Source organism: Homo sapiens, chromosome 12, assembly GCF_000001405.40.
Source record: "Homo sapiens chromosome 12, GRCh38.p14 Primary Assembly".
Classification (NCBI taxonomy): Eukaryota; Metazoa; Chordata; class Mammalia; order Primates; family Hominidae; genus Homo; species Homo sapiens.
In genome coordinates, this window is record NC_000012.12 from 114,350,253 (window position 1) to 114,364,756 (window position 14,504).

Here is a 14,504-nt window from a genome sequence, read left to right on the forward strand (position 1 = left end):
TGATGAGCAGTCGGCTGATCAGTACCAGTACCCAGCTCTGTCACTGATGGGGCCAATGTATCTCATTACAGGAGCTTCATCCCTTCCTCCTCAAGGTAGACAGGAGTGTCCCATTTTTCTCACAGACTCATTTCAATGAACAAACAACAAGCTAGATTTTATTTACTAATTCTACTTCTAGTTACAAAGATAATTCATCTTCATCATGAGGAAAACTGGGACATCCCAAAAGAACAAAGAAAATTTGAACACCCACAATCCCATCACTGTTATTGTTATACATCCTAAGAGTGCTTTTGTTTCCTTTCAAGTGTGAATGTATGCTGGTGTGTTTAATCAAATTGAGAAGCTGCTGTGCAAGCTACTTGAAGCTTCTTTAGCTTGCAGTGAATTTTAAACATCTTCTCCACAAATGTGTTTCTTCTTTTTTTATTTTCTTGAGACGGAGTCTCACTCTGTCATCCCAGCTGGAGTGTAGTGGCATGATCTTGGCTCACTGCAACCTCTGCCTCCCGAGTAGCTGGGATTACAGGCGTGCACCACCACGCCCAGCTAATTATTGTGTTTTTAGTAGAGATGGAGTTTCACCATGTTGGCCAGGCTGGTCGTGGACTCCTGACCTCAGGTGATCTGCCTGCCTCGGCCTTGCAAAGTGCTGGGATTACAGGCATGAGCCACCACACCTGGCCCACAAATGTGTTTCTTAATGGCCATGTGGTATTTCATCATGCACTAATTTATTTAACCAACTCCATATTATTGGATATTAAGGCTGTTTCCTATTTTGCATGATTTTAAAAAATCATGATAGACTTCCCAGAAAATAAATGTTTATATACATCTCTGATTATTTCCTTCCGACCAATGCCTCAAAGCAGAATTATCAGACTAAATGATTTGCACATTAAGACTTTTGATACATTTTGCAAACTCTCCCCTCCCAAAGGTTTATCTAGTTTGTATTCCCAACCATTAGTTTATGAGATTTTCTACTTTCTCATTAGCAATAGGTAATATTATTTTTTAAATATACATTTGCCAAGTCAATGATTTAAAAAATTATATTTAACTTGAATTCCATTGATTAAAGTCTTTCGGCCTGGTGCAGTGGCTCACGCCTGTAATCCCAGCACTTTGGGAGGCCAAGGTGGGTGGATCACCTGAGGTCGGGAGTTCGAAACCAGCCTGACCAACATGGAGAAACCCCATTTCTACTAAAAATACAAAATTAGCCGGGTGTGGTGGCGCATGCCTGTAATCCCAGCTACTCGGAAGGCTGAGGCAGGAGAATCACTTGAACCCAGGAGGCAGAGGTTGTGGTGAGCCGAGATTGCGCCACTACACTCCAGCCTGGGCAACAAGAGCAAAACTCCGTCTCAAAAAAAACCATAAATAAATAAATAAAGTCTTTCAAGCATTTACTGAACATCTGCTGTGTTACATACTTTGCTGGAAACTTTCACAGATATTATCTCACCTACATGCACAACAGTTCTTTGAAGCATGTAGAATATCTTCTCTGTTTTTTTTTTTTTTTTTTGTAGAGACAGGGGTCTTGCTATATTGCCCAGGCTTATTCCTGGGCTTCAGCAATCCTCCGTCCTTGGCCTCCCGAAGTGTTGGAATTACAGGCATGAGCCACCAAACCCAGCCAATTATCTCCTTTTTATAGAGGAGGAAACTTAAGGCTTGGGCTAACTTAGGTTTCACGGTAAGCCCTGCCACACACCAGCTGTGTAATCTGGGGGGGGAATTTTCAACCTCTCTGAGCTCAAGAATACTAATGAGCTGACCCTCTTGAAAGTTCTTGTGTTTCTTCTGTCCTATAAGCTTGGGTCCTAAACTGTAGAGGACCAGGAAGCCAGGCGGATGCTGTAATATTCCTGAGTACAAAAAAACCTACCATCTCACACATCCAGAGTCTGTCCTCTGCAACTTTAGAAATTACCTGGAAAGGAGCCTATCACAATTAGTAGGTCCTGTATGAGTAAAGATATCGACCGCACATAGTAGAACCTTCCTACCTGTTTACTGAATGAAGGCATGTGAACTAGGTGATTACTACCCACTTACAAACCTACATCTCATTCCTCCATCACAATTTCTGCCTCAGGACTTTGCACAAGCTGTTCCCTCTCTCTGCAATACTTTTCCTCCCAAACTTTTACCTGATTAATTCCTACTCATCATTAGGGCTGTGCTCAAGAGTCACCTCCCCCAGATGGGGTTAGGACCCCTTGCCTTATCCCTTTATGCCATTGGGCACTCTGTCTTTGTAGTAATTTCCACCACTGCAATCCACTGAGGATGCACATAATTTCCTAAGGGCTATTTCTCTCTCTCACTAAATCATAAGTTCCAAAGGACACAGCCCCTCTCTTTTTGTTCACTGCTGTGTCGCCGGTACTTACCACATGTCCAGTCTAAAGCAAGCACCCACCAAATACATTATAGGACTGTAACAATGTGCATTGTGTGCCTTGCCATGGTTTTATCAACACCATGATGAAACTACATTAACTCTTGGACATTGCATCCTTAATCCTACTGATTCAGTGAAAAGATCCACTATAACAATCATTTAGAACCCAAAGAGGTTAACCTGTATTGGTTATGAAATGACAGTGTCCCTTGTCTGATTTGTGAAACTTGCTGTGAACATATTTTTAATGATTTTCCAATGGTGGCAACTGTTTGAGTGGTGGGGTGGGGATGCAGATTCCTAATTTGGATGATGTTCCTCTGAAAGCATAAGACTGACTGTTGTATAGAGTTGATAAAATTAGTTTCAAAGGCAATGTCTTCAAAGGCAACTTTTTTTTTTTTTAAACTGAACCCATCAGAATAAATATCTATTTGGAGCACAGTCAGAACCTGTTCAGTGAAACTTTACTAATGCAGTCCTTTGGGGGAACAGGAAAGCCATTGACCTAGTTTCTCCATTGCACTTGAAAGAAGCTGAATTGTCATTTCTTTATAATTAATTCACACTTCTCAGGGCTTCTTTGCCTGGGAAAGGTCCCAGGGGACCTGATTAAATGAATAACTTGTAATCAACAAGCCAATTGTTTCTTTTTCAAGGGGATGTGGCATATTTGATAGCTCTTGATAATTTGAGGGATGCGGGCATCAAAATTACAAAAACAGAACAAATCTGCTGCACAAATGTACTCACCAATTTGCTGCTCTCTTCTGTCCCATATGTGTTTTAGAGCTCAAGTTCACAAATCCTAGATCCATGGATTTAAAATCAATATCTGATTCACTGATGGTTCATAAAGTTATTTGCAGTAGAACCCCCAAAACGCCTGGCTCCAACAATTAATTCAGAGAAAGAGATTCTTGAAAAACCCAAACATTAGGTGTTACATATAATATGACCGATACCATTTTAAATAGGTTGGAATTCCTAAAGACTTTTCTTCTCCAGTGCCTACACAAATTCCATTAAAACAAGTAACCTCATTCCAAGGATATAAACCAGTGGATCATATATTCAGCTTCATCACACTCAAGGACAATGGATCCCAAATTCTCCTGCGATGGGCATGAGAAATCACGTGAGGTGAGAAATTCACATGCAAGACAACCTCTTCCTGTTTCCTCCAATTCCTATCCCCTCTATTCAGTCGGTAGAAAGAACAGGAAAAAAAAAAAATGGGTGTTCAACTTCCTTGTACTTGTTTAAGCACATGGTATTTATTAGGCATTAATTGGCACACAAATATAAGGCACGAGTACTTAATCCTCACCCTCCCCCCTTAGCAACGTAAAGAGACATAATCGCATAGGGACACTCACTTACAAACACACTCACACTCTCTCACGTACTTAAACACACTCAGCCTCACATCTTACCCTGTTCTCTTTATTAGGGTCTGTTTATAAAAAAGGAAAAAAAAAATTCTTTTTAATCAAAAAAAGCAAAGCACATTCGAAAGAGGAAAAAAACAAAAAAAAACAAAAAAACACAAACTTGGTTTTGAGTATCAATAAAATTAAAAGCTCTTGGCCAGCTCCTATGCTGGGTTTCATTTCATGTTATTACTTAATTAGAATTCCTATTTATAAATAAATAGTACCAGTAAAATATTACATCTGAAGAACCCTACCATAACACTTTACTTACACACTTTTTTTAATACTGTTTTCGGCTTTCAGTAAACACAGTTTTGTGTTGGCATTGGTGTGGGCGTGGTTTCTTTGGCGAGATATCATTGGTGACTGTGTCTTGCCTCTTCTGTAGGAATTGTGCATTTTGCTTGACATCCAGTTTGGGTTGTTGGTGATGGAGGTTTGGAAGGTTGGGGCTGGCCTTGTTTTTTTCAAAAAAAATTTTTTTAATCAGGAAGAATATTTATTTTGGCTTTTTGTCCACAACTCTTGTCAACACAGAGCTTGCACTGTTATCACAGTCCTGCCTACATGTAAACGGGGGCTTTTTAAGTTTTTCAAAGCAAGCTTTCCGGAAGGGAAGCTATAGGCCACGTTTTAGCGACAGACAGCTGGAAAGACAGAGCTGGCAAGATGGTAGGGCTGAATAAGATAGGATGCCAGGGAGCGTCAGTGTTATCCTGACTCCATGGGTAAGTAGAGGCAAAACTGAGCACGTGATATTGGAGAAGGCAGGACAAAACCAAAGCAAATGGGGACATACAGAGGCTTTTCAGAAACATCACATGGCAGAGGTAGGTGCTTTTCTTAGTCAAGGGGAAACGTGAATTTAGGTTTCAGGGATGGTTTACTTGAAGGGAATCCCGCAAGTACATATTTTGAAATATACTTGCCTCAGACCTCCCCCCAAATAAGGGACTGGGTCCCATTAAGAAAATTGAAAGAAAAAAATATATTATCATTTATTATATAACAATGTCAACATTAACACCAAGACAGGGACAGACTCCAACTACGCACTAGGGAAAAACACTCAATGAGGCAAGACTTTCTAGAGCCCAAAAGAAGGAATGGGGGAAGAGATCTGGGGAGTAGCGTGAATGTGGCTGGTTGATGGGTGTGGTGGTAGTGGGGGGTGGGACTCATCTTTTTGTGTTTGTTTTTTTAAGTTTTGAGACAAAACAAGAAAGTCACATTTTTAAAATTGTGGTTTCAAGCTACTGATTAGATCAGCATCCAGCGACCTTGAGTGCAGATGTGAACATTGGGTGAAATGAAAAATCTTGTCCGTGGGGTTCTCTTGGCTACTGTCTCTCTCCTTCTCTCTCTTTCTCCTCTCTCTCTCTCTTTCTCTAGGAAATGTCTGTTGTGAAGCAGGCCTCACTTTAGCTATTGTCGCTCCACTCTGGCACCATGCCAACTCCGTGCACAGAGTGGTACTGATGAGGGGATAGAGTCCTTGGCACGCCATGAGAGTAGAGGAACTCAGGGGGCTGAAGGGTGCCAGGGGACTGCAGGCCAGTCTGAGGCCCACACTGCCTGACCACAGGCTGGTGGGCCACGGAGGTCTGGTGCTGGAACATTCCCTCTCCCAGCTGTGGGGAGCCATGGTTGGCCATGCCAGCCAGCCGAGGGACCAGGGGCCCCGAGGTGAAGTGAGCGGAGAAGTGCTGGTAGGGTAGCCTGTCCATGGGCTGCACGGTGGTGACGGTGCAGCTGCTGTAGGAAGGCATGCTTGGCCACGTGTTGCAGCTGATGTCCTCTAGGCTGGGCACAGGCTCGCTGGGGGGCGCAGAGCTGGCATACATGCAAGCTTGCCGCTGTGCCGACTCTGTCCTGTAGGAGGCACCCAGGCCCTGCTGCTGTGGATAGCTAGAGCGGTAGAAGGAATCTTCTTCACTGGGTGATGTCTCCATGTAGGGCTTCTTATAGGGATGGTCTGTGGTGGAACATTCTTCCTCTGTGAAGACAGGAGAGACAGCAGTGAGGCCAGGAGCAGGCACCAGGCAGCTAAAAGTGGAGACAGTTATTTGGCCAAAGTACTGAAGAATAAGTCCTGAGAGACTGTTAGCCCTAACCGCCATTCTGAATACAAAAAAAGGGGGTTGGATTGTAATGGTTAAGACCTTGGGCTATGGAGTTCTATGCAAACAGTTTGACCTTTCTGGGTTCAGCTTCTTCATCTGTAAGATGGAAAGGGTAGGAAATAGCACTTCCTACAAAGGGCAGTGTTGAGAATTAAATGGGAAAATACATGAAGCACTTAGTCCAGAGCCCAGAAACACTCAATAAATAGCAACTAACCAGGTGCAGTTGTGCACGCCTATAGTTCCAGCTGCTCGGGAGGCCAAGGAAAAAGGATCACTTGAGCCCAGGAGTTTGAGACCAGCCTGGGCAACATAGTGAGACCCCCCATCTCAAAAATAAATAAATAGCAATTATTATTATCTTTCCTCTTCTCCAGCATGTAAATTTCATAAAAGCAGGACATTTTCTGCCTTATCCATGACTATATTCCCAGAACCTAGTAAACACCTACTATTAACAACAGCATCAACAATAAGTCAAAACAAACATATACAGTGTGTACTCTGCGTAGCACGATTCTAAGCACTCTCCAGGAAGTAACACATTTAATCACAACAACCCTACCAGGTGGGTTTTACTATTATCCTCATCTTACAGATGAGAGAAAAAGGACTCACGGAGGTTAAGAAACTTGCCCAAGGTTTCACATGGCTGATAAACAGTAGAGCCAGGATTAGAATCCAAGTAGTCTGACCACAAAGCCCTTGTTTTTCACTGTCTTGATACATAGAGAAAGCATGCAATAAATATTTGTACGATGGATGGATGGATGGATGGATGGATGGATGGATGGATGCATGGATGCATGGATGCATGGATGAGTGGGAGGGAGCTTGAATGAATGTTCAAATTCTTTCCTGATTCCTTATGTAAGCATGTGCCTAGTTAGTATTTGTTAAGTTGGTACAAGTTAATGTGTTGCTGTTTCCTGCTGAGCAAGTCCCTTCCCTTCCCTGTGTACTAGTCATTTCCTAGTGTAGGGAAGTGGAGATAGTTTTGTCTCTGAAAGGGGGTCTCCTTTCACCACTTCGGGGCCACTGGCCCCTTTGAAAACAAGAAAAAGTGCTGGGCTCTTTCCTAGAAAACTGCATTGAAACACAATGTTTTGAAAACTGCATGTGCATACAAGGCTTTGCATACAATTTCAGGGGGTTCAAAGACTCCCTAAAACCCAGACCCCAGGTTAAGAAGCCTAGACATGTCTGGATTTGAATCAGGCTCCTTTACTTAATATCTGCGTGATACCAGCAGGGCATCTACGCTCAGAGACTCATCATCATCTCTGAATCAAAGTGAGTAATACTTACCTTACTGGGTAGCTAAGAACTAAGATTGAGCATGTAAAGTCTCCTGATTTCCGTCAACATGAACAGCTCTTGTTGCAGGGCTAACACCACCAGTCAGGCTCATGGCAGACATAATTCACAATAATACCCTCAAAGTATTCCCTTCAGGGGAAGCAATACTTGGGGATATCTACCAAAGTATAAACCTCAACACAGACTCATTACTTATCTGAAATTTTACCTTCCAAACTGAAAATTCTCTTTCCTCATCTTTCTGTCTCTTTCTAGTCAATAAATGTTAAGAAATTATGTCTGTCTTTGGAGAAGTGAAGAAAAATGAAACACTGGGGCATCCATGCAACTCACTGTGATGGCTCATGGCCATGAAAACAGAATGCTGAACTAAATAACGAGAGGAAATGATCAGAGCTATTATTTATTGAGTACCTACTACATGACCTTACTCTTCATCTCACAGTAATTCCTCAAGGTGTCTGCTGTAATGCCTGTCTCATAAAGGCAGAAACTAAAGCTCAGAGAAGTGACTTGCCCAAGGTCACATGGCTGAGAAGGAACAGAGGCTGGAATCTAAGCCAGATTGGATTGACTTTGCCTACACACCTTGCTTCCAACTCTCTAGATTTCTAATACCCAGTGCCACTCATGCAATCATACAGCAGATAATTACTGAGCTGCTCCAAAGTGCTAGGTATTGTGCCAGGTGCTGGAGATAGAGTGGTGAACATGATCCCGTTTTTGGTGCATGTCCTCAATCCCAGTCTATCCTACCATGAGCAGTAAGTGAGGGAGGCTGACACTCTGTGACTGAGAGGTGGTCCTCAGATATAAAGACACAAGTAAGCCATTGACTCAAGACTAAATCCTTTGGCTTTGGACTGGTTTGTAAAATAGCTCCCAAACCCAGGTAGAGTAGCTTGGGTTTGGATTCCACCAATCAGCTCCATTTGTATCAATGTCCAAGTGACACCCACAGATAAGCCAAAAGTATCCACAAACAAAACATATCTCTTAGGGTTGTGCCCACTTAACAGCAAGTAAACTTATTTCCACTAGACTCTTTCTGGGCCACATATGGGACTTATAGGATACCAAAAAAATTTGTACCAAAAATAAAAAAAAAAGAAAAACACACTCTTCCAGGTGTTCTATCTACATCATGCCAACCATGCAGATGTTTGAAAACATCCAGATGAATGAACGGCCACATTTTTCACCTTTTAACTGTGCGGGGTTTTTTTTGTTTGTTTGTTTGTTTGTTTGTTTGTTTGGAGGCTTGAAGACATTGCTATACTCAGCTTCTTTTTGTCCTCACCACCTCCTCCCTTGATTCCTTTCCTTCAATTCTTCCTTCCTTCCCCCAGATTCATAAACCTGAGTGTTTCCATTGTTGCTGGAATCATAACCTTTGGGTTTTCCAATTAACCAGGGTGTTACCCTTTTCAATAATAGAAAGTACAGCTGCAGGGCACCCTTAGCAAGAGGAAAAAAAAACAAGGCAAACTAACTATTTTCAAGTTTCTGATCCCCTTCCAGATTTGTTACAAGTAAAAAAGGAAGAATAATAAGAAAACGGCCGGAACACATTTTGGAAAATCGTAAAATTATACATTCCAGTCTTTAATACCCCAAAGATCTAATGCAGAGCACTAAGAAAAACTCAATCTTGGCTTATTGATGAAAGCAGGTCCTGAACATTCTCAAATTCCTCTCAGGCCTCATCACATTGTAAAGAAATTCCAACTCAAGGATCCAAATTTCAGGTCAGTCATGATAAATGCTCTGGATGTAATCTCTGTGTTTATTTTGGTTATGGCTCAGTTTCTTTCTTTTTTCTCTTCTTTGAGAGCCCAATAACTGTTCAACAGCAAAGACCTATCTCCAGCCAAGTCATGATTAACTTTCAGGGTTGGTAAATGGGCTATACTTAAGTATCAAGTCTTCTGATGAGATGAGTCCACAACTCGGCTTCAGAAAGTTGCATATTAAGAGTGGTCAGTTATATTGCAACTATCCTAAACCGAAATGAGTCTCTTAGGTAACAGTAAATTCTTCCTGATTCTGACCACTCATTATGGCATGGCACTGTAGAAAACCCTAGTACTTTGGATTTTTCTAGATATTTTTGATTCCGGATAAAGTGAATTTAGTAATGCATCCAAGGCACAGATATTAAGGCACAGAGTTACAGCTCCAATGCTCGCTCGCCATGTGACTGGATGAATCACCAGGTCATTCCAATCTCAGTTCTTGATTGTAAATGGAGATAATACCTGAACTTTTTATGAGATTTAATTGAGGTAATAATGAGGGCAGTTGAGTTTTTATCTTCCTTGCACATAAAGCATTCAAATCTTGTCTGTCCAAATGACCTGGGTCCATTCTCTTTTCCCTCTTTCTCTTTTGGAAGACTGGATAGATAGCTTTCTGAAAGTTGTCCCATACTTAATAGTATTTGGGTAGATTACAGAGCTGGAAAGCTCACAGAGTGCTTTTAAATACTAATCCTATTGAGCAAATATTTTCACTATTCCCAAATGGGTCATTTCTCTTGCCAATTCAGTTCATTCAGATGAAGAACCATTGGCGAGTCTTCCCAGACAGAGACCCTGAAACTCAGAGTAGTAATCTTTCTAGCTGAGTGACCTTCAGCAAGTTGGGAAGGTGGCTATAATTCAGGTCTTCTGACTCACAAAGCAGTGCTCATTCTGACAGATGGCCCCAGGCTTTCCATTTCACGCAACCCTACATGCTCAGCCAACATGAAAAGGTAGCAAACCTTGACTCTTATGGATGAGTGGGTGGATGAGTAGATGGATGGATGGGAGGATAGATGTATGGGTGGGTGGGTGGGTGGATGGATGGATGAATGAATGAGTGGGAGGATTGGTGGATGAGTGGGTGGATGGATGGGTGGTTGGATGGGTGGATGGATGCATGGATGGGTGGGTGGGTAGATGGGTGAATGGATGGGTGGGTTGATGGATGAGTGAGTGGTTGGGTAGGTGGATGGATGGGTTGATAGATGGGTGGGGGGATGGATAAGTGGGTGGATGGATAAGTGGATAGGTGGGGTGATGGCTGGATGGATGAGTGGGTAGATGGATGAGTGGGTGGATGGATGAGTGAGTGGATAGATAGATGAGTGATGGATGGGTGGATGGATGAATGAGTGAGTGGGTGGATGGGTGGGTGGATGGGTGAATGGTGGGTGGATGGATTGGTGGGTGGGTGGATGAGTGGGTGGATGACTTTTTGTTGTTGTTGTTTTTGTTGTTGTTGTTATTTGTTTTTGGTGTCCCCATGCTCTTAGCATAAAGTAGGAAGGGTTGGAATGGTATTGTGCGAAGATTCTCAACGAGAAATCAAAAGACTCAGTTTGAAACATCACCTAGTCACTACCTGAAACCAATAAATTTACTTACTGGCTTATTATATGTCTCATCCAGTAAGAATTCAAGTTTCTTGAGAGCGGGAGCCTTTTCCACCATGTCCTCCACTTATCCCAAGCACCTAGCACAGTGTCCATTATACATTAAGTGCTCAATAAATAAAGATTAATCTGATGCATCCATCCCAGATCTGCCAATCATCAGCCACATAAGCTTAAAATCTAACCCTGTCTCTTGGTCCTCCATTAGATCCCTGCAAAATAGAGATGGGTGGCATCTCCCCTAGTCCAAAGACTGCTGCAGGGAACTGGAGAATCAGCAAAGGAATGGATGTGAAATCGCATTTTAAAACATAGCACTCAGAAAATGCACCCTGCAAAGCCCTTTTCCATATCGAATTCCCCTTCCCCTCTCAATCTCTAACTTTCCTTTGAATATCTGATTCAGCTCATGGCTTTGCTAGAATCTTTATTTGGGTTGCTTTTAGTTTCTAATGCGAGTGGGGGTGAGAGTCAGGGGTGAGAGGGAGAAAGACAGACAAGTGCTCTCCCAGGCCCTGGGGTCCTGGATTTGATTGAGTGGCATTGATAAAAGACCTTCCCAGCTTTTTTGGCTCAGTCCATCGGGAGAGATAGTTTGGAGACAGCCGGTTCCAAACACAAGGAGCCCTCCGGCCTGCCTGGCCCTGTGACATTTCATTGGGCCTGACTCCTGGGCTCATTGGAAAGGAGACAGACAATGAGGGGAAGTCAGATAGTGGGGCAGGCAGGGGCCAGGGGGAAAACCACCCATGGAGTTATCACTTAATGAGAATCCCAACTGGAAGGAAACCTCGGCTGATTCCTTATCACTTTACAGTGTGGAGGCTGATGATGAATTGCTATTTGTTGTCTCCTAGGCAGGACAGAGAGCCCTCGGTTGGAATGTTCCCTGTCACTGGGAGCTCCCTTTTGGGGGTGGAGGGAGGTGAGAAGGGCAGAGTTTCTGGAAAGGTGAAAGGATTTCTCCAGGGTGCATACCCCATTCACCCTGAGCCCACAGGCCTCAGTATACATCTCAAGCTGGGCCACTCACGAGCTGAGTGACTTTGGGTAAGTTCCTCAGTGTTGGTTTCCAAATCCACAAAGAAGTGGGGTAATTCTTCACCTTGTTATCGCCAACCAGCCACTAAGGCCTGATTCCACCCACATCTCCAGCTTCTCCCCACACCCTGGTCGGAGCCACCATCTCCTGTTTCAGACCCCATGACAGCCTTTCAATGGGTCTCTGGTGCCAACTAAATAGTCCTGTGCTATCATAGCACAGTGACTGCTTCCAAATAAAGAACTTAGGCATGTTACTCACAAATTTAAATCCCTCCAATGGACGTGCACTGGTGGTAGGATAAAATCTGACATCTTTCATTAAAATGGCTTATACAGGCTGGCATCTCACTGGTCCCTGCCTTCCCCTCTAGCCCTCATCCCCCACCACTTTGCCCTTGCCTTGAGTGCCAACATCTCAGCCTTCTGTTCACTCCCCAGGGGGCAGGCTCTCCCTCAGCCAAGGGGCTTCATGCATGCTTTCCTCTATGTGTGGATACCCTCACACCTCCCCCTTCTCCTATCCAGCACTCAGTCTCCTCTGATCTCAGCCTCAATGCTTCCCTGATTGCCTACCCTAGACTGACACTCCAGTTTGATATTCCTTAACACTTTGCATATCTCCTTTATAGCATTCAATCATTTATTTTATTTTATTTATTTATTTTTTGAGACAGGGTCTCTCTCTGTCACACAGGCTGGAGTGCAGTGGTGCAATCACAGCTCACTGCAGCCTCGAACTCCTGGGCTCAAGCAATCCTCCCATCTCAGCCTCCTGGGTTGGCTAGGACCACTGGCATGTGCCAACATGCCAGACTAATTTTTTATTTTTTGTAGAGATGGAGTCTTACTATGTTGCCCAGGCTAGTCCCAACTCTTGGACTCAAGCAATCCTCCAGCCTCAGCCTCCCAAAATGCTGAGATTACAGGTGTGAGCCACAGTGCCAGGCTTCACAATTTCAATTAAGCAATTTATAATTACTTGTATAATGTCCAACCTGCTTGCAACCGTATGAGCTTCACAAGGGCAGGCCTGTGGCAAGCACATGTTCATTGAGCACTTGTAGGTGCCAGACACTGTTCTAGGTGCTTTCTGTGGATGATCTCATTTCCCCTCATCACAACCGTATCAAGCAGGTGCTATTGTTATCCTCATTTTGCACAAAAGATAGTTGAGGCCCAGAAAGGTAAAACAACTTGCCCCTGGGCACACAGCTGCCAAGTGTCGTCAACTGTGAGTATTACTACAGTGGATCAGCCCCCAACTCCAGCTTCCCCAGTGGCCACTCCAAGTTGATTTTAAGCTCATCCAAGGATCCAACAAACAGTCCATGAAAGTCAAGTCATAACCTAAGAGGTTTGTGAACCGTGCATTCAAAGCCTCCCTGCCGCATCCTTCAGGGATGCATTTATAAGGATGCTGCTGTAAATATTGAACCTAAAAAGCACCATGATCCTTTTTAACTTCTTCCTGCCTGTCTTTTGGTCTGGCATTAATTTAATCGATTAGAGCTCCCGAATTCAAACCTGGTGAGCTCTTAATCAGCATGTTTGACCCAGTCTCAAAGACAGATCTTCAGTGGAAAATGAAATTTTGAGATTGTAGCAGATGAGCAAAGGTAACCAAGACGGTATAGAGTAGTGGTGAAATGCACACGTATAGAATCTGCAGACCAGGCTGGGGTTCAAGAACCACTGGCAGTTTTTGTTTGGAACCTTTCTGAGCCTCAGTTTCCCCATTGATAAAGTGGGTTAATAATAGCATCTACTCCATAGTGTTGTCGAAAAAGCTTGATCTGGGACTTAGGAAGGGCACCCTTAAATATAATATAAAACAGAATCTCTATTCAGGGACCTGTGTCCCATAGGACATTCTTAACCTCCTGCTCATGCCTAAAGAGGCAGACATATTTGCAGGCATCTGGTCTCCAGTCCATCCGGCAGCAGACGTGCCGGGAGTCACGCCAGGGGGCCTGTTGGAGTGATATTGTTCAGGCCTTTGAGATTCAAGGAGTTTGGATTGGCTTCAGGTAAGTCTGGAAGTCAGGCCTCATCCAGGTCAGCTCCTAGCCCCATGTAAATACCAATGACAGCTCTTCCCTCCTTTAAAACGCAAGATTGGTAAATGTCAAATAGTCAAACTATGTTACTTTCCTCATGTAACCCCAGCTCCAGAAAAAGCTACCAAAGCATCCATTCCCATTGGTTGTTAGCGAGTTATTTTTTCCTAAAGGGCTAGGCACTGGGCACTGGATTCACAAAGGCTTGTGTTGACCACTGAGGCTGTGAGGTTCAACAGGCCACTTTGTAGATTAAAATTAGTGTCTTTTAGAGCAAAACAGCTACTACTTTCTGAGTCAACCCTGAGATAACATATGATGTGTATGATTTTTTGACATCTCTGCACCAAGCCTATGAGACAAGTCGTACCCTGAGCCCATATTTACAGATTTTTAAAAATGAGGCTTGGAAAGGTTAAGCAACTTGTCACTACTTATGAAAATTTTTAAATTGCAAAGGTGAACTTCATCCTGATTGATTCTACAGACCACAGATGTAAACTTTAGCCTACCCCATCCCTTCTGTATCTGTCTTCTCAAGCTCTCACCTAGAGAGGCAGTCTTCTCTGGGAAGACTGATTAAATTAATGCCAGTCCAAAGACAAGAGGCAGATTCCTCCTGGGAATCACCTTCTGGAGCGATATCTGCCACATACCCAATCATGGCTGCCACCTACTGCGTAC

The 14,504-nt window shown here is 43.4% G+C and overlaps 1 protein-coding gene across 4 annotated transcripts in view; it reads right to left on the bottom strand.

Moving 5' to 3' along the window:
• The window catches only part of TBX5 (T-box transcription factor 5), a 54,532-nt gene continuing 43,686 nt past the window's right edge, over window positions 3,659–14,504 (bottom strand). For 3 of the 4 annotated variants that reach the window (NM_080717.4, XM_017019912.2, NM_181486.4), the window contains one exon: window positions 3,659–5,854. In NM_080717.4, the coding sequence (NP_542448.1) occupies window positions 5,280–5,854 (575 nt within the window). In that variant the 3' untranslated portion in view covers window positions 3,659–5,279. The remainder of the gene's footprint in view (window positions 5,855–14,504) is intronic. The other variant, NM_000192.3, reaches the window with a different exon arrangement.